The 23,597-nt window shown below is 36.8% G+C and overlaps 1 protein-coding gene across 4 annotated transcripts in view, besides 2 other annotated features; it reads left to right on the plus strand.

Moving 5' to 3' along the window:
• Window positions 104–253: a silencer, noted in NCBI's record as "silent region_5395". NCBI's record gives its function as "represses an Ori minimal core promoter by ATAC-STARR-seq in GM12878 lymphoblastoid cells {active_cell/tissue: GM12878}" and the evidence as "EXISTENCE:reporter gene assay evidence [ECO:0000049][PMID:35858748]".
• BORA (BORA aurora kinase A activator) overlaps window positions 232–23,597 on the plus strand; it is a 28,274-nt gene continuing 4,908 nt past the window's right edge. Inside the window, exons 1-10 of one of the 4 annotated variants that reach the window (NM_001286746.3) lie at window positions 232–569; window positions 1,235–1,402; window positions 3,590–3,696; window positions 7,269–7,314; window positions 10,271–10,352; window positions 15,846–15,911; window positions 16,814–16,870; window positions 17,290–17,516; window positions 18,253–18,385; window positions 18,810–19,420. In NM_001286746.3, coding sequence (NP_001273675.2) covers window positions 1,250–1,402; window positions 3,590–3,696; window positions 7,269–7,314; window positions 10,271–10,352; window positions 15,846–15,911; window positions 16,814–16,870; window positions 17,290–17,516; window positions 18,253–18,385; window positions 18,810–19,420 — 1,482 coding nt within the window. In that variant the 5' untranslated portion in view covers window positions 232–569; window positions 1,235–1,249. The remainder of the gene's footprint in view (window positions 570–1,234; window positions 1,403–3,589; window positions 3,697–7,268; window positions 7,315–10,270; window positions 10,353–15,845; window positions 15,912–16,813; window positions 16,871–17,289; window positions 17,517–18,252; window positions 18,386–18,809; window positions 19,421–23,597) is intronic. The other 3 variants (NM_024808.5, NM_001286747.2, NM_001366664.2) reach the window with 3 other exon arrangements.
• Window positions 464–513: an enhancer, noted in NCBI's record as "active region_7814". NCBI's record gives its function as "activates an Ori minimal core promoter by ATAC-STARR-seq in GM12878 lymphoblastoid cells {active_cell/tissue: GM12878}" and the evidence as "EXISTENCE:reporter gene assay evidence [ECO:0000049][PMID:35858748]".

A 23,597-nucleotide genomic window follows, 5' to 3' on the forward strand; every position in this document is an offset into this window, starting at 1 on the left:
CACGCCGGGCAGGCTCCGCCCCTCGCGCTCGCCGCCGGCGTGAGGCTGCGTTGATTTGAATTTGGAGCCACGTTCCTCTGCGCGGAACGTGGAGCGAGGAGTTGCCATTCGAATTTCCTACGCGGCCTCCGTGCGATTGGCTGGTTCGCGGATGGCGGGACGACACGATTGGCTAGTCGCTCACAAGCCCCGTGCCCTGGTTGGCCCAAGACAGCGCGGAAGCGGGGAGTTAAAGAGTCTATGCCTGTCGTGGAAGCTGGCCTGGCCCCCGGAGCTCCCTGGAGTCGGTACTGGGGGCTTCGTTTTGTACGCACCGGTAGGTACGCTCTTTGTGGTCCCTGGCCTTTCCTCCTGTCTGAATGGAGAGGTTTCTTTTCCCAGCTCCTGACTTGCCTGCCCGCTCGCCCCTGGTGAATGGGAGCAGTCAGGGAGTAGGTGTGGAAGAGAGGGGCACCAGAAAGAGTGGCCACGTAGGGTTGGGGGCGACGCCTCCTTCGCACTCCATCCAGGGAAGCCGGCTGCATCTCAACCTTCCAGAAGTAGACTCTTTTCCACCCCACCCCGCCAAGGTGTAGCCTCTGTAGCCTCCTTTGATTGCAAGTAATGCAGTCTCCCTTTCTATCCCGGGAGGGGTGGAGGGGAGGTCTTGGCGAAAGGAGGATTTTTGGAGGAAAGGGGACCCCAGGCAGTTAATTTCCTAGCCCCTGTCAATCATACTTCTCTGGCTAGGACTCATGTGCAAGAAAGGCACAAGCTTCCTCATCTCTTACCTGCTTGCTACAAAGAATTGTTTAATAGCAACTGTAGTTGGATAGGGTATCCGAAGAATGTTCATAGTGTTGAGACATGAGATGATGAATTTAAAAAAAATTGTAGCTATAAGTCCTTTAGTTGAGAAGAGATCTGGGCCTGTTGTAACCTTTAGTTTCCTCAGAGGCAGATCTGAATTCATTCATATTTGATTGCTGCGTATAAGCCACTTCACTTCTCTGAGCTTAATACTTTCGCAAAATAATATCACTAGTAAGTTACTGCTATAGCTTTCAAGGTTGTTTCGAGGATCAGTTGAGAACATTTATATGTGATACTTTTTTTGTAAGCTGTATCATAGCCCCAAGAGTGTGAGGTTTTGAGTTGTTTTTTGTGACACATTTGTCGAGTACATTTTAATAGTTAAAATTAATATCTATGGGACTTTGTAATTTTAACATGCATACTCTTGATTTCTTTTTAGTTTTCTCTCTGTGCTATGGGAGATGTCAAGGAATCAAAGATGCAAATAACACCAGAAACTCCAGGAAGGATCCCTGTTTTAAATCCTTTTGAAAGTCCTAGTGATTATTCTAATCTCCATGAACAAACTCTCGCCAGTCCTTCTGTTTTTAAATCAACAAAATTACCAGTAAGTTATTCCTGACTAGTGTTTACAACTAATTTTAAATGTAAGTAATTACAAATAATTTTAAATGTAAACATCTGTCTTTACAAGGTAAGGAGGAAATACATTATGGAGCATATATAGCTGCAATATACTTTTTTAAATTGTAGTGTTCATTATAATCTAGTGGTTAGGTTAATAAGTTAGCTAGAAGATTTTTTTTTTTTTAAGTTCAAGAACATACGTTAGCTTCCTGCAGTTGTGGGTGTAGCTACATTCTGTGGTTGACGATATAGCTACTAATACATTAGAGAAGAAGCTGCATCATCTAATATTCTGTTCTCACTTATTTGGCAAACATTATTTGAGTGTTGCTATGTGTCAGATACAGTGCTAAGCAGGGATTACACTGTGAACAAGTTAGGATCATTAGGCACAAATCCTTAAGGAGGTTATACTCCGATGTATGGGTCACAAACTTTCTGTTAGGGGCCAGACAGTAAATATTTAAGCTTTACAGGTCATTTGGTCTCTGTCACAACTACTCACTTCTGTCTTGTATCACAAAAGCAGCCATAGGCAATGTGTAAAGAGATAAATGTTACTCTGTTCCAATACAGCTTTATTTATGGACACATTTGAATTTCATATAATTTTCACATGTCACAAGATATTTTTTTGTTTGTTTTCCCAACCATTTGAAACTGTCAAAATAATTCTTAGCTTGCAATCTATTATAAAAAGAAACTAACCCCTATTTTAATGTGTTAAACAGAACTAGATGAGTAATATCAAGGCAGTGTGATAGGTGATATGATTAGTACTTAGGACAATAGTAATATGAAGGAAAAGTGTTCTTCAGGATATTAGAAAAGGCTTCATCACTTTATCTTTTTTTTTTTTTTGGTAGAGATGGGATTTCACCATGTTGGCCAGGCTGATCTCGAACTCCTGACCTCATGTGATGCACCCACTTCAGCCTCCCAAAGTGCTGGGATTACAGGCATGAGCCACCATGCCCGGGCCACTTTATCTTATTTTACTGTTATTTGCTACACTGGATAAGTTCTTTTGACCTTGGATCTTTCAACCTACCAAGTTACTTAGAAAAACTGCAAATAGGGTGGCTGTTTCTGCTACACTTTCATACAGGTTTTACAATGAGCAAGTATGTACTAGTGGAAGGTCGAGCAGTTTATATTGAGTCATTTCATCAATCTGACCTTATGATTTTTAATTGAATCATTAAAATTTATCTCTTGGTCTTACTAAAAATAAATAATAGATTGACGGCAGCTTAATCCTCAAAGTTGGAATGTATGGCATCTTGCGTTTTTAGGACTGAATTTGCCTAGAATATATTTCTAATTACAGATTAGGATTTGGATAAACCTTTAATTCAGTTGCATGGTTGAGTACAGAAAGGCAGCACTGGTTGCCATTCATAATTATTTTAAGGATCAACTATGTTGTGAGCTTTTGCAGCCACCTCCAAAGTGACTAAGGACTTTAATTTCAGTTCCTTCTTAGTGAAAGTAAAGACGTTTGTTAACTGTGAGAGATTTTTACTTTTACATGGGCTTAGTTTATCACACTGATGAGTGTTAATTGTGAAAGTTTTATATCTTTATTACTCTGTTGTGATTTTTCTCGTATTACGTAATTCCAACCCAGGTGAAAGATTCTGATATTTTAAAAGAGATACAGGCTGGGCGCTGTGGCTCATGCCTGTAATCCCAGCACTGCCAAGGTGGGCTGATGACTTGAAGTCAGGAGTTTGAGACCAGCCTGGCCAACATGGTGAAACCCCATCTCTACTAAAAAAAAAAAAAAAAAAAAAATACAAAAATTAGCTGGGTGTGGTGGCGGGTGCCTGTAATCCCAGCTACTCAGGAGGCTGAGGCAGGAGAATCGCTTGAACCGGGGAGGTGGAGGTTGCAGTGAGCTGAGATTACACCAGTGCACTCCAGCCTCGGTGACAGAACGAGACTCTGTCTTAAACAAAGAGAGAGAGAGATACAATTAAGTCAGTTGATCGAATGTGATATGATTACCCTTTGCCATTTAATTTCATGGTAAAGTCAAATTTTAAAATACAAGCTTTAAAATATTTTCATATTATAACCATTCATATTATTTCTCACATAGGTTAGCATTTTGATGAACTATTTTAGTTTGCCTTTACTCATAAGCTCACTTTCTTTTGTTAAGACTCCAGGGAAATTTAGATGGTCTATTGATCAACTAGCTGTAATAAATCCTGTAGAAATAGACCCAGAAGATATTCATCGTCAAGCTTTATACTTAAGTCATTCTCGGTAAGTTTTCCTTTCTTGCACCTAAGTCTAATAACACTCTCAAGTGAAGAGAGGTAGGAAATTCTAAATGTTGAGTATTTTTCTATGTAAAGGTATCAGGGAGAAAAAATTTTGATGCAGATTTTTTCTATCTAAATGAATGAGTTCAAAGAACTACATTCAGAAAGATTTTCTTGCCAACAGTTCCAGACCTGAGTAGATACCTTTTTCTTTTACAAGTAACCTTTTCCCTCTGCTACTGAGGTGACAGCTCTGTACCCCTAGCACTCAGTTAAGAGAAGAACATTTTGAAATTTGCACTTTTCTACATGGTTGTGGCTTCTGCCATTAACTTGTTTCAGTTTGTCTTTTTGATGATTTGGGGTAAAGCAAAATGCTGTTTCATTGTTATCTATGTTTGGGGAAACCTAAAACCCCCTCAAAGAGTTACGTATGCACTGAATGGAAGGGTATCCATTAGCAACAGAGCGGTTTTTTAGACATCATCCAACTGTAACAATTCACTTGGAATCTGAATTACATTTTCTAGAATTCTACATATCACCCAGTGCAGTCTTATTTGTTGATGTGTTGTTTAGGTTTCAAGGCACTAATGTACTGCAGATTTAGTTTTTTATTACAAAGTGTAAGGTCCTATTATTCTTTTGTAGTTTTAGGGACTCTTGTTTATATGTTTTATAGTCTGATTTTTTAATATTTGAAAAAAATCAAATACATGGTATGACCAGATTTTAATTTGCTGTCCTAAGGTAGACATGTTGTTAGTCCAAAACAAAGGATAATCCTTTTCCCTTTGACTTAAGAATTCAGTCACACAACGTTGCACACATATTGAGATATTCTGGTAAATACTTACTGGCTTTTCTCCTCCATCTTCTCTTTGCTTGGTAACATGATGACCATTCAATCATAAAATTAATGTCCACCCAGAGTGTTAATAGGAAGGGAATAGAATGAGGATGAAGCATGAAAGGATTTTAACTTAAATTTAAATAATACCTTTGAGGCCAGGTGTGGTGGCTCACACCTGTAATCCCAGCATTTTGGGAGGCTGAGGCGGGCAGATCACTTGAGGTCATGAGTTCAAGACCAGGCTGGCCAACATAGTGAAACCCCATCTCTACTAAACATACAAAAACATTAGCCGGGCATGGTGGTGCACACCTGTAATCCCAGCTACTCGGGAGGCCGAGACAGGAGAATCGCTTGAACCCAGGAGGCAAAGGTTGCAGTGAGCTGAGATCATGCCATTGCACTCTAGCCTGGGGGACAGAGCAAGACTCCATCTCAAAAAAATAAAATAAATAAATAAGTAAATAAATAATACCTTTGAAAGAGAAGGTGAGATGAATATCTAAAAGCAAATGAGTCACAGTGACTAATTTTTTGTTTCACACGAACTTAATTATGCTTAATTATTTTGTCTCATTTCTTCAATATATTGAATGATGGACAATTATTATATTGATCAGTCAAGAGATACTTATTGAGTACTGTGAGGGACTGTAAGAAACACTGAAGAAGTACAAGATACTAAGAGTCAAGAGTCAAAAATATAATTAGACCAAAGTTGTAACACAGTGCTTCTGTTCTTACTACTAAATGATATATTGTCTGCAAAGGTTTATAAAGATAATCTTGGTGTCTCTTAGTACATAGATTTATCATATAGAAGAATGGAAAAGAGTGGGAAAATATTATAATTTAATTTAATAATATAATTCAATGAATGGTTATGGCTTCTACCAAGGATAGTCAATATATTCTTCACAGAGCATCTCGTTTCATCCTTAGAAACAAGCAGTGTCTTTCAGTATCTCTTCTTACATATTAGCCCTCTACTTCAATTCTTCCCATCCTTTTCATGCCACCATCCACACAGAAAATTGTAACTGAAAAGCATACCAGTGTAAGCAGGTGAGTCTTGGCCATGTAGGTGACCAGTCCTGAGGTCCCCTCTCCTTTGCCACCCTGCAAAGGCTCAACATTCAGGCCACACCTATACCTATATGCATCATACTGGTGTTCAGTGGTATGCTGGTCAGGATGCTCTCCCCTGTATGACTTCTTAGAATCTTGTTTGATCTGACTCTAGAGTATTTGGCCACAGTGATTTTTACAGTTTCCAGCAATCACCTGAGTATTTCATGTTCTTGAAGTCCCTCTGATGAAGTAGCAAAAGGTTTCTGAATGCAGTAATCCTAGTTCAGAGCTTACTTGCTATTTGCTAAGCTTGTTATGTGCTGCCATTTTGACCATGATAAGATGAAGAGAACCATTGATAAGATGAAGGCCATTTTGTTATCCTCAAAATGGCTACTGTTCAAGCTGGGATATGTGGGTTGACACTGTAGTTTATTTTCTCATACTTCTCCCACTTGAAAAATCTACTTAATTTCTGAAATGTATACATTCTCATATAAGCTTTATTAAGCCATGAGCAAGTCTATATGTGAAAAAAATTCACACCATGGAATACTATGCAGCCACAAAAAGCATGAGATCGCGTCCTTTGCATGGACATGGATGCAGCTGGAGGCCATTATTCTTAGCAAACTAATACAGGAACAGAAAACCAAACCCCTCATGTTCTCACTTATAAGTGGGAGCTAAATGATGAGAGCATGTGGACATATAGAGGGGAACAGCACACACTGGGGCCTGGTGGAGGGTGAGAGGAGGGAGATCAGGAAAAATAACTGATGGATTCTAGACTTAATACCTGGATGATTAAATAATCTGTACAACAAACCCCAGTGACACAAGTTACCTGTGTAACCTGCATTTGTACCCCTGAACTTAAAATAAAAGTTAAAGAAAAAATTCTGAGACAAAATAATTTTAAATTGTAAAAAAAAATATGTCTTACCAATTTACTGATGGAAGGCAAGGATTCTTTCCTGTAATGGAATAAAGAAGTGGTCCTAGAAAGCTAACTGCTGAGTCCTTGGCAAGTATATGCTTTGTGCTTGGACCCAAAATTTTATATTAAATCTTGTAGCTGAGAAGTTTATATAACAGTAATTGCAGATTGTATCAAAGTGAAAAAAAAATTCATTTGGAAAAAATGTTATATTGTCAGTGTTTTATTTCAGAGTTAATATTTTTGACTGTTTAGAACTGTGAACTATCCTCATCTATTTTACAGTAAAAGTTGATTCTAAAATTATTGCCATGATAAACTTGTTATAATTGAAGAGAAAAACTTTGGACAATTTTTAGATGTATGTTGAATTAAATACTTCTTAATTTGTATTAAGGGACAAAGTTTATCAAATTTATATTGTTAAAAGCAATTTAATATCAATGTAAGTCTTTTGAAATAAAGTATCATTGCATTCAAACTTTGAATGGAAAAGAGGGAGGTAAGCCTAACAGCTAACTGCTGAATTTCAGAATACTGCCTAAATGTTACTAAATGTTACAAGATACCACTAGTATTAATTATAAAGTGAGCTTAACATTTGCCAGTTTTCAATGAAGGGAGATTATTTATTTGAAAGGTTATTTTTTAAAATGTTCAATAAGCTTAAGTAATAGCATGGTTATTTTTCTTCTTTATCTTTGTATAGAATAGATAAAGATGTGGAAGACAAAAGACAAAAAGCCATTGAAGAGGTAACTTAAACTGTTACTGATCATTAAATCAGTTAAGGATCAATTCTGCATGTACATCACTTCTTTTAGGAAGACTTTCTTCAATTCCTTCACTGTCCTATCTCCCCTCCAAGCCCTTCACAGTCCCATCTATATAAAGCACCCTTCTGTACTGTCCTAAGACCAATAATTTCCAGCTATCCCAGTACCTTGCATAGCACTTGCATACTGTTGTAATGATCAGTTTAGTGTTTCTGTCCCCTAGACGCAATCTTTTTTGGCCAATACTGTACTTCATCCTTTCATTCTCAGGACCTAGCACAATTTGTCTTCCTTGTGCCTTCAAAATGTTGATTAGCACAAACTTTGTTTCAAGTTGGAGTTTATGTAGAGGAAGTCGAATATTCTCAGGCCTTCAGAGTCTAGATTGGCATTGGGAATGGCTTTGTCTTTTTTTGTTAATACTTTGGATTTTTAAGATATTCATGAAATAAAATCTCTTACTGTTAAACAGGAAAGGTATATCATAATGTAGGCTTTCTAAAAAATAAAAATAATTAAGTTTTTTGCTTTTTTATGTCTGTTGAATTGCCTTTCTTAGCATCTAAATAAGGTTATTATTATTATTATTTTTTGTTTTTTGAGACGGCGTTTCGTTCTTGTTGCCCAGGCTGGAGTGCAATGGCATGATCTCAGCCCACTGCAGTCTCCGCCTCCCAGGTTCAAGTGATTCTCCTGCCTCAGTCTCCCGAGTAGCTGGGATTACAGGCATGCGCCACCACACGCAGCTAATTTTGTATTTTTAGTAGAGACGGGATTTCTCCATCTTGGTCAAGCTGGTCTCGAACTCCCGACCTCAGATGATCCGCCTACCTTGGCCTCCCAAAGTGCTGGGATTACAGGCGTGAGCCACTGCGCCTGGCCCAGCATCTAAGTAAGGGTTACTTACCTTGTTCTTTCCTCAGAAAGTCTTTATGTGATGGCAGCATTTCTGATTTTTACTTTTCTGCCCCTCTAGCCCCCTCAACCCTCCTCTGTTCCTTAGCCGTACTTGGCTCTTCCGTACCACAAAAGACTATGTTTACTCCTGCTAAACATTACCTACTTCTTCTTCTATCTAGTAACTGCACAGTTTTCATTCTGACTCAGTCACTTGGTTCTTCCCCACCTGAATATTCTCAGACTCTCAAAATTTCCAACATTTTGAAAAAATACTTTCTTTAAGAATCCTTAATTTTAAAGAGAAACCCAGCAGGTAAACTTAAGAAAATTTGTTTCTTTTCAATATATATTTTTGAAAATAGAAGAAACATATACATATAGTAAAAACAAAAAGAAAAAATATAAAATAAAAAGCCTCCTGTTTCCCCATCCCACTTCATGAAGGTAATGACTATAACATTTCTTATGTGTACTTTCAGATTAATTTTACTTATTTAATAGCATATGTCCTTAAAATATTTTCGACAAATAGGATTATCATTCTCATACTATTATCGTTCTCATACTGCATCCTCCTTTTTTTGCTTCATGATTTTTCTTAGAAATTTTTGATAACCAGCATATACAGATTTTTACATTCTCTTAGCAACAGCATAGTTACCTAGCCCCTGTTGACAGATGTTTAAATTGTGTTTATTATTTTTCTGTCACAAATAATGCTGCAGTGATTTGTATATATATCTTTATATTCTTGAAATGGACCTAGTAAGTCAGAGGCTTTGTGAATTTTCAGTTTTGGTAGATTTTACCATATTGCCCTCCTAAAAGGTTATACCAGTTTATACTCCTGATTACAGTGTGACACTGCTTGATTTTCCATATCTCCAATATTGATTATTATCAGAATTCTTAATTTGTTCTACTCCTATTACTTTAAAAATGACTTTTTTTTTTTGTATTTCTTTACTTTTGAGTGAACTTATACATCACTTTGTAAGTTTATAGGTCCTTTAATTTTTTTTCTGGTAATTGTCTATATCTGCCCCAGTCCACCTTTAAAAAAAAAAAAAAAAAGAATCTTTTCCTCTTAGATTCATGGGTAATTTAGTTAAGAAAATTAGCTCTTTGTCATATGTATAGCAAAATATGAAGAAAATATGTTTGGTTACTTGCAAAACCTAGGGAAGGGAAAACACTGTGGTAGAAATGAAAGAGGAAAGAAAAGTATACAAATGCTCTATCTCATTTGAATATACTGGCCAGTAGTGTGCTGGTGAATGTTTAACAACTTGCTCTCTGGTCGTGGAAGGAGTACGATTTATAGCGATTCCTGCTATCCATAGTGTAAGTACTCCAACCATGGCCAGTTTCAAGCTACTGATGTGACATCACTGAATGGGAAAGGAAGAATAGTGGCACACCATTATATGTAGGAATTCCACCATACAGATACAAAATACATTATTAACCTCAAGAGCATAGACATTGATAAATATATAAAATAATTAGCAAGTGGTGAGTTTTGGATATTTGTTACCTTTATTTTTAATATATTTAATTGTAAGTTTACATAATTTTATTTTTAATATTGGTTTTAACAACTGGTGCACAGAATTCTTGAAAATTTAATAATCAGATCTTGAGAGCCAGAACAAACAAGCCAGCTTCAGTGCCGTCATTCATACTGGCCTACTTGCATGTCTCTGTCTTAATATATTCCTTCCCTTTTCATCCTTTTTTTTGTAACCCCATCAAAAAAACCTGGGAAAGAAATTTAAAATACTTTGTCTATGATTAATCCTCTTAGTTTAGTTTGCAAGTTTCAAATTTAACTGGTTGATTTGAAGTATTAAGATTCCTCTTTATATATACTTTAAATTTCTTCCATTTTTCCTTTGGTCATTTGTATTAAAATTTTTGCATACAGTTATAAAGTTAGTATATGACATGTTTAATAATTACTTGGAAAAACACAGGTACCGTCTCACATTTTGGGTGGAATTTATGCCTAATTGTATGACTTTAATTTTCCTAGTTTTTCACTAAAGATGTCATCGTACCCTCTCCTTGGACTGATCATGAAGGGAAACAGCTTTCACAATGTCATTCCAGTAAATGTGAGTGTACTAAAAATGATATGAATAAAAATCAAAAAAGTCGGTGAATATAAAGCAACATATCATGAAGTGCCAGTATATCTGCTTTGTAAGAAGCTTGCTTTAAAATTCTGGATAACATAGAATTTAACTCCTTTTAGGGTTAGAATTAAAAATTTGACTAAAATTTATTGAATTGTTTTTTAGCTGTTATACTCTGAATTTAACTTTTTCTTCATGACTATTGTGAATGTCAGTTATAATGATGGTTATAGAGGATCCATAGATGAAGAAATAGTTGGTATTGAATATAGAGATGAGTTGTTAATGACTTTAGCAGTATTTTGAAGGTTAATATTTTAGATAAAACCGTAAATTGTGTTGCCTTTTGCTAATTTGCTGATTTCTTATAAAGGTAAAGAAAGGATGAAGACTTAATATGACCTCTGGGACAGTGTATTATTGCTGAGTATCTGCAAAATTAATAAGGAAATTAAAGGGCAAGCCAGTAAGCTAACAATTATCTTTCTACCTCCAGGCAATGGTTGTCATATATTTGTTCTCACTGCTCTTTGGGTTGTGAGGCAGTATTCAGGAATCACTTGTATATATGCATCCCTCATCACAGTGGAATTACACTGTCTATTGTAGTATACCTTAATTATGCTCTCAGTATAAGAGGGAATGTTTGTTCCATTCTTTATCAAAAAACACAACATAATAATACAACAATAATAGGTAAGCTGGGTTAGTACTTTCTCTATGCCAGGACAGTGCTAAGTGCTTTCAGTAATTTCTTATAACTCATATGAAGTAGGTGTAATTATTGGCCCCATTTTATAGGTAAGAAAACCTAGTTTTAGAAAGATGAGAGCATTTGTCCAGGGTTACAGAGATGATAAAAGTGGGAAAACCTGAATTCAAAATTCTCAAATCAGATGCTGTATTCTTAGCCATTATGAATTAGTGGTAGCACGCAATAGTAGATGGAAATCTGGATTGTAAAACCTCCTACTTTTATAAACCAGAGAGGTGACCTTGATCAAATTATTCTCTTTGTACCTCAGTCTTTTATTTGTGAAATAAAAGGATTGAACTAGAGTTGTCCATTTACATCCCCCCAGCTCTAAAATTGTGTGTCCAAGGTGGCATTCTCATAGATACTAGTTTTTCACCCCCAGATTCTTTACTGTTGGATTTTTTCAACAGATGAATCAACCTTCTTAAGTGATTTTTTAAATAACATTTTTGTATTCCAAGTATCCTGTTTTAGTTCAAGTGATGCAGGATCAAGAAGATGCTTAAAAACACTTTAGACTCTTTGAAATCTAATCAAGCCCACGATAACAGTGCAGTGGTTAATAGGATAGGCTCCAGAGCTGTGCTGTTTACTGTGTTGTTGGGAGACAATTCTCCATAGGCCTCACATTTCTGCACACCTTTCATGAAGTGGCATGGACAAGTTCTGTTCCAAACTATCTTTTCTAGGGTGTTTGTCTTGGAAGGTAGAGATAGTGTGTCCCACCAGAGCAGAGGGTAAGTTTGTTTTGCTGTCCAGTATAGTAAAGATGATGTCTCCCTCTGGAGCAGATTTGTTTGCAGTCTCTCTTAAAAGAATGGGATTTCCTAAGCTTGGGGTTCCTTAGCTATGGTGAAAACCCATTGTGTGTCCACCAGCCACCTGGGTATTTTAATTTAGAATCTTTTAAGATAGAGAGCACTCCTCCCATGATTAGGAGAGACACAAGATGGAAATAAAAATTTTATTACTTACAAGTCCTAGGGGTACACAGCATACCTGAACACCACACAGGGAGGTCAGGAAGAGAGAGAAAGGGACCCATGGGCCAACGCCTTTATTGGGTCCAGGGCATTATCCAAACAGAGTTTTAGTTGGTGGGTTTAAAGCAAGCAGGCATGCATTGAGGAGGTCACACAGTGACTGAGAGATAGTCACTGTGGCATGTCTGTGTAGTCCATGTGCGGTATGAGGGTTGGGGGGTCAGTCAGGTAGGCCATATGTAGATGGCCCATAGGGAGGTGGTTACCAGGAGGAATTTATATAAGGCAGATATCTGGATCAACCACATTGAGGTATAGAACTGGAAACTGTGTCGGGTGAATGAGCCCTGCTTTTTGTATGAGAAAGTCCAGCTTGTATGCAGAATTATAAGAATTCACTGCACTGGACTGTTTCATGTCATCTTCTTGGCACTTGGGAGCAAAGGGAATTAATAGGAATGTTAAGTTCATGCTGCCTGCTGTGCTGAAAATAATAAAGTCCTTTATCTCTGCCCCCAGAAGCCTCATGTCTTTAGCCAGCACCAATGGAACTTTGACATGTTCACCTGTTAGTTGCCAAGTTGGGTAGAATCTTAGACCCTTTATAGTTCTTGACAGTTGTGGCCACGTGTGACTATTTAAATTTAAAGTTAAATTTAAAAATGGAGTTCCCCATTCACAATATTCACATTTCAGGTGCTCAATAGCCATGTGGATATCGAGTAGTATAGATAGAGAACATTCCCATCATCACAGAAAATGTTCTATTGGATGCTACTTTAGGGCCAAGGTTGGCAGCCCTTAAGTGTAAAGGATTCAATAATAAATACTTAAGCCTTTACTGACCACACAACCTCTGTTGGAACCACTCCACTCTACTGCTGTACCACAAAAGTAGCCGCTGACAATATGTAAATGAATGTGAGTGTGTACCAGTAAAACTGTATTTAAAAAAATAGGTGAAAGGCCAGATTTGCACCATGAACAATAGTTTGCTGACCCTTACTCTAGTGTAATATTATCTAGGTTTGAATTGTACCCAGTAAAGCTCACTAGCTGTGTGACTTTAGATGAGTTACTTAGCTTTTCTGTGCCTCAGTTTCCTTATCTATAAAATGATGGTTATTGTGGTACCTCTAAGATAATGTACCTAGCACATGGTGTTTGGTTATCTACCTAAAGATTAACAAATAAAATGGTGAATGAGGGGAAAAGTGGTTTTGTTTATACATGTTAGCTTGTGCTGGTAGCATTTACTATTATTAATATTTATGCAGCAAGGTGCTTCAGTGCATATCCTCATGTGTTTTTATTTATGGACTTGAGTGAGAATTTCCCTGGGATATATACGCAGGTAGAGGATTTCTGAGTTATAGAATATATCGTTACCTAATCTGACTACACAGTATTAGAGTGCTCTCTAGAATATCTGCACAGTCTGCACAGCCCCAGCAGTCCCTAGGGTTCCTGTGTCCCAGCATCCCTGCCTGCCCTTGGCATTATCCAGCTTTTACATCTTTGCCTTTCCTATAGGTTATTTGACATTCTAAATGATTGTTTCAGTTTTCTTTTTGTCTTCATAGACTAATGACCTTTTACATTTCATAGAAAATGTCTATTTGTAATTCATTGATATGTTTCAATTGGAGTTGCTAACCTTTTTTTTCCTGTTAATTTCTAAGATACCTTACATATTGTGGTTATATTGGTCTTAAACATTTCAAATGTTATCTCCCATTCTGTCATATGTATGTTACTCTTTGTTCTTGATATCCTGGGTTGCATAGAAATTTTTATTTTGGTGCAGTCAAATCCATCGATTTTTTTTTTTCCTCATTTGATTGTGGTCTTAAACTTGTCTAAGCCCTTCTAGGGGAAGCAACCAAAACACTTGGAATAGAGTTGAAAAGTGATGTGATAATGTTGCTGTAGGTGTCTTTCTGGTCTGAGGAAGGCAAGGAAGGCATGCTGGCAGAAGATAAAATTTAAGCTGAGATTTGAGTTAGACTCTTGGAATGCAGGGGAGAAAAGGCAGGGAGGAGAGAGCATAAGATAATACCTAGAGATGAGAGAGATACCTGTTTCTTGTTTGTTTGTTTTAGGTACTCAAATAATATTTAATTAGATGGCAACCATGCTAGAGAAATAGACATGGTTTTGAAAGGCTTTGTAAGCCATTGAGGTGTTTGGATTTTATCCTAAAGACTATTGCAGGGTTTTAGGCAGAGAGAGTATTGATTACATCTGCCTTATAGAAGGTCACTCTGCATGCAGTGACAAAGTCATCTGCATCCAAAATTTTCTTTATTTACCCGTTTTGATAGTATTTCACAGGGAAATTTAATTTATTCAGCAACCCACTTACCCATTTTAAAATTTAGAATTGTTAGGTTACTACACTCTATTTTGTCATTTTATTTTAGAATTCCTGAGTTGTTTCTGGTTTTGGGGGGAGGGGGGGTTTGTTTGGTCCCCTTGCTTTTTCTTCCTTTTATCTTACTTATATTAGTCTTTTTGAGATGGTTTTGGTTTTTGAGTTTTTTTAATCTGGTGATTTTTCAATTTATAAAACTTTAGAGTTAAAATAATTTGCACCCATATTTTTAACTCTTCTTGTGAAAGAAACTATATGGTTTTATTGATCAAATTTCAGGTTTTGTCAAAATAATCTGGCATTTTAATCTGTTGAGGACATTGAGGGTAGCTAAAAGGTATCCCTAACCTTTTAAGGTTGACGTCATGAAGAGTAATCATCATTTCCTTAAAAAAAAAACATTACTTTGGGATTCATCAGTCCTACTACTGGGTATTTATCCAAAGGAACCAAAATTACTATTTCAAAGAGATACCTGCACTCTCATATTTATTGCTGCATCGTTAATCACAACAGCCAAGATATGGAGTCAACCTAAGTGTCCATCAACAGATGAATGGACTTTTTAAAATGTGATATATATATATATACACACACACACACACACACACACACACACACACACACACACACAAAATGGAATACTATTCAGCCTTAAAAAAGAGGAAATTTTGTCATTTGTGACAACATATATGAATCTAGAGGACATTATGCTAAGTGAAAAAAGCCAGCCACAGAAAGACAAATACTGAATGATTTCACTTATATGTAGAATCTAAAAAAGTCAGACTCTTAGAAGTAGAGAATAGAGTGGTGGTTACCAGACGGTAGGGAGGAGGGGTGGTGGGGGAGATGTTGGTCAAAGGGTACAAAGTTTCAGTTAGACAGGAGGAATAAGTTCTGGTGATCTGTTGCACAGCCAGGTAACTATAGCTGATAATGAGGTATCATATAGTTCAAAATTGCTGAAAGTGGATTTTAAATGTTCCCACCACAAAGAAAAGTATTTGAGGCAATGGATATGTTAATTAGCTTGATTTGCTCTTGTCATAGTGTATACATATATTGAAACATCACATTGTACCCCATAAATGTATACAATTATTTAAAGAAAAATGTAAAAAAAATATTGCTTGGTGACTCCTTATTTGCTGTGGTAATCCTTTAGTTTTATCCTTGTATTCCCTCAAAGGTAAAAAAATAATAGAAACATACCAAAATATATACTTATATATGCAGATTTTTTTTAATGTTGCAAAATAAGTTTCCACTTTCTTAATTTTTTACTTTGGAAAAAGTAATGCTAAAGCAAATGAAGAGTATAAAACATAGGATTTTTCACTTAAAATGTCTTACAGGCACTAACATAAATAGTGACTCTCCAGTTGGAAAAAAGCTGACCATTCATTCTGAGAAAAGCGATGGTGAGTATGAACACAATTTGAAAAGAAGGATGTTCCATATTAAGCTACATTGAATTCTAAACCCAGTTCAGGTAGTAACACTTTACTCTGGAATTGAAATTGTTTCCTTTTTTTTTTTTTAATTTATTTTTGTTTTTTTGAGACAGGGTCACACTCTGTCACCCAGGCTGGAGTGCAGTGGCACAATCAAGAGCTCATTGCAACCTTGACTTCCCGTTGACTTCCCGAGCTCCAGTGATCCTCCCACCGCAGCCTCCTCAGTAGCTAGGACTACAGGCACCCGCCACCACACCTGGCTAATTTTTGTATTTTTTTGTAGAGACAGCATTTCGCCATGTTGCCCAGGCTGGTCTCGAACTCCTGGGCTCAAGCGATCTGCCCACTTTGGCCCCCCAAAGTGCTAGGATTACAGGCATGAGCCACCAAGCCTGGCCTGTTTGGATTTTTTCAATGAGCTACATAATAACCATATGAGAGCTGACCTTTAAAAACAAGTATAGTAGAACAGATGCATCCAGCCATGTTTTAGAAATAGCACTAGTGTTTTGTTTTCTTGTTCAAAGCATGTGAATTGATTTCTGGTCTTGGAAAGCATTCTTTTGAAAATTGGTTAATGTGAGAAATCTCCCCCCAGATATAGGCTGGCTTCCTTTTCAAGTGCCAGTACCAGAGCCAGGAGTTAACTTTTACTATTAACACGTTTACACCAGTTGCGGAGAGTGTGGGAAACCACTTCTAGAAAGGTGGCAGGGTATGTGATAGAATGCAGAAATGAATAATTCCATTTGGCTGGAACATCACGGGGAGATGATTGACTGGGCAGCACATGCTGAATTGTATAGTGTATACTTTCATTGATTTATCCCATGTTTGAATTTGTTTATTTATTTGCTTGTTTCCAGCTGCTTGTCAGACATTGCTGTCTCTTCCTGTGGATTTTAATTTAGAAAATATATTAGGTAAATACTGTATTTGTTTAAACTTTTAATAACTTGAACCAAAGGTTTTGTTTGGCTGGCTTTTTGTAAATGGTAACATGGGAAATATGTGGCAGTGCCTCTTTCTAAAGAAGTGGGGAAACTGCCCTGAAATTTCTCTTTTTCTTGAACATGGTTTGAACTAGCCTTATTATCATAGTGAACTTTATTACTATAGACAGAAACTATAAACATTTTATTGATATTATACTAACAATGTAGCACTTAAAAACTAAGGAATAATTTAAGATGTAAAACATCAAATATGCAATTAAACTTTGCCCTCTTTTTGGGAAAAAATTCAAACATAGTGCATGCTGGCTTCTTAAAAGTTGAGTAACAGAAGTATAATTGCCCTTTAAAATGACTAGCTTTGCCTTTTCTCCTATTATTAAATATAGGTGACTATTTTAGAGCTGATGAATTTGCAGATCAATCTCCTGGAAACCTCAGTTCTTCATCCCTCAGAAGAAAGCTGTTTTTAGATGGGAACGGAAGCATCTCCGACTCCTTACCTTCGGCTTCTCCCGGAAGTCCTCACAGTGGTGTTCAAACATCACTAGAGATGTTTTATTCAATAGATTTGTCTCCTGTAAAGTGTAGGAGCCCCTTGCAGACACCAAGTTCGGTGAGAAGTATACTAAAAAGCAGTTGGCTAATATGCTGTCAAGCTTGAACCCACATTTTGTTGTTGTTCTATCTTAGGCTTTCAGCAGCCTGAAGCCATGGTTGCTTTCTGTCTCTAGTAAATAAGTGGAAAAGAGGGATGAGGAAGGGCCTTTACTGGCCTAACCAGAAACAGAAACTAAGAACTCATGACTGTATTCTCTCCCTTGGACACCCCTGTGAGCTGCCCAGATTGCTTTCAGAAGGAGGGATGGTTGTCTTTTGAGTATTATGCTTCACAGAAACTAACTCTAGTTCGTATGTTATCATTAGTCATAGGGATGTTTTAGGTCAGACTCTTCAATTTTGTATTTAGATATGTACAGGATGACCAGATTTATCATGAGTCTCAAGGAAATTCAGCATAGGTTATTTACTAAAGTGTGTGAGATTTACAGTATAATACAACTGGCTTGGCATTAATAAATTTAAAAATTTTTCACAGATGGTTGCTTAGTGTGAAACTTAATGGTTTGTTCAAATACAATGTGTTTATATTTTGACTAACATATTTGATACTATTTCAGAATTTTTGTAGCAATCTTCTTAGTTGTCTTTGTTGCAAGGTGTCTTTTGGTGGTTCTCGTGAACTATTACTAGTTTATAAGTGTGTTTTGAAGACCATGATAAATAGCATGCAGCATAAGAGTTAAGGAAGAGAACCATATACATTTATTTACTATTTAATTTTATTACAGGGGCAGTTTTCTTCTAGCCCTATTCAGGCTAGTGCAAAAAAATACAGCTTGGGAAGCATAACTAGTCCTTCGCCTATTTCTTCACCCACTTTCTCACCAATTGAATTTCAGATAGGAGAGACTCCACTCTCAGGTATGTCTCATAATAAAATACCTAGTTAAAAGTTTTATACTATCAATATTTGTTATTAGAGAGGTTCTTTTAATTTGTCTTAATGATAGAGCTCAAAATGATCACTAACCTTCTAACATTTAGGAACTTTGATTTTTAAATAAAAGAACAGTTTACCTTCAAAGGCTGGAATTCTCACCAGTTTGTACTGTAGTGTTAAATATAGTTACTTTAATTAGCAATATTTACATCAAACACTATCAAAGGAAATTTAGCAATTTCCATTTGTGCTATTGTTTTTGACATCACAATTTCACTTTGGTAAACAACACAACTGTTACAGAAATGCAGTTTTTCCTGGCATGAAACATGATTACCATTTAGTAGTGACTTTTCCATTTTCATGTTTTTATGATGTGATTTTTTTTCCCTTCCCACCTTTCAGAACAAAGGAAGTTTACTGTTCATTCTCCTGATGCTTCATCTGGAACAAATTCTAATGGGATAACTAATCCGTGTATCAGAAGTCCTTATATAGATGGCTGCTCGCCAATTAAAAATTGGTCTCCTATGAGACTTCAGATGTATAGTGGTGGTACTCAGTATCGGACCTCAGTGATTCAGATACCTTTTACTCTTGAGACTCAAGGTGAAGATGAGGAAGATAAAGAGAATATTCCTTCCACAGATGTCTCATCACCCGCCATGGATGCTGCTGGAATACACCTACGGCAGTTTAGTAATGAGGCTTCTACCCATGGTACACATTTGGTTGTGACTGCCATGTCTGTTACACAAAATCAGTCCAGTGCTTCTGAGAAAGAATTAGCACTGTTGCAGGATGTTGAAAGGGAGAAAGACAATAACACTGTGGATATGGTTGATCCTATAGAGATAGCAGATGAGACCACTTGGATTAAGGAGCCGGTTGATAATGGCAGTTTACCCATGACTGATTTTGTAAGTGGCATTGCCTTCAGTATTGAAAACTCTCATATGTGCATGTCACCTCTTGCTGAAAGCAGTGTCATTCCTTGTGAAAGCAGTAACATTCAGGTAAGGTATTTAATATTCTATAGCCCCTTCCTCACTGCCTTGGTGTTCTTTATCCTTTCTAAGATTATAGTATAAGAAAGATAATGGATTAAACATGAGGACTACAGTATTATATAATATTTTTTAAAAATATTAATACCAAGTGATATGAGAAGAGTAAATTTATTTTAATTATGACAGATAAGGCATATTTTATATTCACATTAACTGATATTTGTATGGAGTAGGAAAAGGTAAGAGCAGAAAAGAAATTAGCCTGCTCTAGAGAAATCAATCCTGCTAGAGTCAGGCAGGATTCATCACTGTTTCATGTGGATCCAGTCCCCCAAAACATGCAAGGTCTGGTATAGTATTTGCATTCTAAAAATAAAATCATTTTTGTTTTTCCTTTATGTGATTTAGGGGGGATAAAAAGAGTTTAGAGCACTGGTTTTTTTTTTGAGATGGGGTCTCACTCTGTCACCCAGGCTGGAGTGCAGTGGTGTGATCTTGGCTCAGTGCAACCTCCACCTTCTGGGTTCAAGCAATTCTCCTGCCTCAGCCTCCTGAGTAGCTGGGACTACAGGTGTGCGTCACCACACCTGGCTAATTTTTGTATTTTTGTAGAGATAGGATTTAGCTATGTTGGCCAGGCTGGTCTCGAACTCATGACCTCAGTTGATCCGCCCACCTCAGCCTCCCAAAGTGCTGGGATTATAGGCATGAGCCACCGCGCCTGGCCTTAGAGTTCTTTTATGTATGCATTTTTGTGCTTTTCTTTTAGAAACATGATTTATAGCAACATTTTTCATGAAATTATACATTTCCAATTTTGCAATGTCTCTGACAACAGGAAAACCTGATTCATTTAACAGATACGTATACTTCATAATTAGCACTTTGGAAAGGCATTTGTTCCATTCATTGTTGTGTTCTTTGAGCTGAGAATTTTGAAGGAACTTCTTTAGAAGTTCTGACTTTAGTCAGAAGGGGATAGCAATAACATCTAACACTAACGTAGCATTACTATGTGCCAAGTCCTATTCTGAGACCTTTACATGTTTTACTTTGTTGAATTTTTACAGCAATCCTGTGAGGTATGTGTACTGTTATCCCTGTTTTACAGATGAGGAAACTGAGGGTCAGAGAGGTTAAGTAAATTACCTAAAGTTTCTATACAACTAGTAAGTGGAAGAGCTGAGATTTGATCCCAGCAGTCTGGCTTTAGAGTCCATGTTCTTTAATCCAAAAGTTAATACTGACTTATAATAATAGCTAATACGCACATAGTGTTTTGATATACCAGGCACTCTTCTAACCACTTTATTAATTCATTTAATTCTCACACCAACTCTATAAGGCTTTAGTGTTGTCAGTTTTGGCATGCTGAAGTTAAAACTCAGGGAAGGATTCTAAATGACCCAAAATTAAATATAGTATTTTGCTCATATTTTTATGCTTCTGTTGCCTATCCTGACTTACAGCTTCATTGCTCAAAAAAGATTATACTAGAATCACTTTTACATATTTTAGCTTCTCTAAAGTTGGTTTCATAAATAGAAAAAAGCACATATAGGCTTAAAAGTATATGCCTTAAAGGCATTGTTTGCTGCTTTTACTCTCTGCCTTTTTTCACTTTCTCTCTCTCTCTCTCTCTCTCTCTCTCTCTTTTTTATATAGAGGAATTACAAAATACTTTTGTTGAAATACACCTTAATCATCATCTAATCCAACTAACCTTTGGAAGCCGTGGGTAGCATATTCTCCCATAATTGTAGTCACTACTAACTTGTCAAACTATCTATGCTTAATTACACTTGCAGGGCTATTCCATTCATTTTTTAACTTCTCTTACTATTACAACCTCTTCCTTCTATTGGGTAAAAATATGTTATGTGATACCCCCCAAGCAGTCTCAGTTTTACTCTCTGGGCCATAACATCATAATGTCTACTAAAAATGTTTCATACATTACATTTCTGCCACATGGTTAGCTTTCTGCTAGCTTTCTGAGGAAGAGTACATTTCTAAAGACATTGCATGTGTGATCATGTGTCCGTCTCTCACATTTGAGAGTTCAGAAATGTCCTTCAGAGTTTGAAGGCATTGCTTCCATTTCAGTGAGAGATCTGAAGCTATTTCAGTGCTTAATCTTTTGTTTATGATCTCTTTTTATCCCCAACTCCCTGGACATGGATAGGCATTTTTCTTTGTCTACAGGGTTCTGAAATTTCAGTGATGTCCTTTAATGCGGGTTTCTTTCCATCCATTATACTCTTCACTCAGAATGCCCTTACAGTCTGTAAACTTACTCCCCTCACTTCTTGGATCTTTTCTTGAATAATATCTTAGATTTCTCCTCTGCTGCTTCTAGTGTTCTCTCTGGAGCAACTTTTGATTCTCCAATTTCTAAAAATCTTTTTTTTTTTAAATCTCCTTTTTTGAATTTTTGGGCAATTTCCTCCAGTTTATATAATAACCTTTCTATTGAGTTTTTTATTTTCTACACTTTTGAAATGCGTTCGGTACTAATTTTAAAAGTCTGCAATGTGGCTGGCAAGGCTGGTCTTTCTACTCTCCAGCTTGTTTCCTTCATTCTCTGTTTAGGTCCCACTAGCTTTCCAAAGTTTTAAAAAGCCACGTTTTCTCTTGTTACAGGGCCTTTTTGCACATGCTATGTAGCATTTCTATCCCATTTTACTTAGTTAACTCCTATTTATTTTTTTCATTGACAACTTATTGATTACATCCTCAAGCCTTCCCAGATCACATTAGCCAGGCCAGACCTCATTATATGCTTTCATGATTCCATGCACATTTTGCATTCTTTCCAATCAGACCACTAATGCAGCAGTCATGCATGTTTTTATCCCCAGTGCTTATTAAAAAGAACCCGTCACGTAATAGCCGCTCATTAAATATTTGTGTAACAAAAACAGAACGAATACGTAGGTTAAGTTCAACCAGAGGGATGGTATTTACTGAGAGTAACGGGGAGCCAGGATTTGGAACTCTGAGGAAGAATTGAGAGGGATCAGGTAAAGGAAGTACAGCCCCTGAAGGAGACTGAAAAGAACCAGCCAAAGAGGAGAAAGGGACACTTAGAAAGCACAGTGTCATGAAGCATTTTAAGCAGGAAAGAATGGTTAGCATTGCCAAAATAGGAGCAAGCAACATTGGGCTTGAAAAGGGGCTAATGGACTAATAAGAAAAGTAATTAATAACTGAACAGCCTCAAGGTGAATGGAAGGAAGGTTAAAGAAGAAGTAATGAAATAACGTGTGTAGATAACTCTGGAGTTTAGTTGTGAAGGGAAAGAAAATGATACCTAGAGAAGAGCATCAAAGTCAGATCTTTTTGTAGTTTGCTTTTTTACTTTGTTTTTACTTAACCCATTTATGCCTAAGGTTGCAATTTTTTGAATTTTTGCAATCAGACCTTGGCGATGACCTTGAACAACAGGGTATAAGTAACTCCCACATGCTTAGTGTTCCAGTAATGGAACACAGAAGAAACAGCATACAGCATTTAAATGAAGAGAGAGAAGATTTTTAAAAACTAGGAGTTGGGCAGCATAATTATTAATATAATTATTAATAGGTATCAGTCACATGTCCTTTTCAAGTACCAGAGACCATGCCAAGCATTTTACAGTCAGAAGCTAATCCCTGTAATACCTTACAGATATAATAGATATCGTCATCTGTCAAATGGTGATCTGTTTTATAAATGAGGGAACTGAGGCATGCAAGAGGGGGTAGAATCTAGAACCCTGATAGGAGTAGCCGCAGTAACTCCTCCATGTTTAAAGGAGGGCAGGGTGCCAGGATGGGTGTGGGTGCAAATGTATTTAGTTGAGGCGCGAGCATGGCATTAAAGAACATGGGCTTGGGAAACCGTAATGGCAGATTTCAGTTTATAGCCCAGCTCTGTTAGCTTTATAAATCCCAGAAAGTGACAGTTTCTTTCAGCTTGTTTCCTCTTCTTTAAATGGGGATAATAATAGGATTACAGGATATTAGCATGATCATTGTGATTAATATAAGTAAACAGTGCCTGAACACTGTTGGTGGGAATATGAATTAGTACAGCTATTATGGAAGTTCCTCAAAAAACTAAAAATAGAACTACCATGTGATCCAGCAATCCCACTAGTAGGTATATATCCAAAGGAAAGGAAATCAGTATGTCAAAGAGA

The sequence above is a fragment of the Homo sapiens genome, chromosome 13, assembly GCF_000001405.40.
Source record: "Homo sapiens chromosome 13, GRCh38.p14 Primary Assembly".
NCBI lineage: Eukaryota > Metazoa > Chordata > Mammalia > Primates > Hominidae > Homo > Homo sapiens.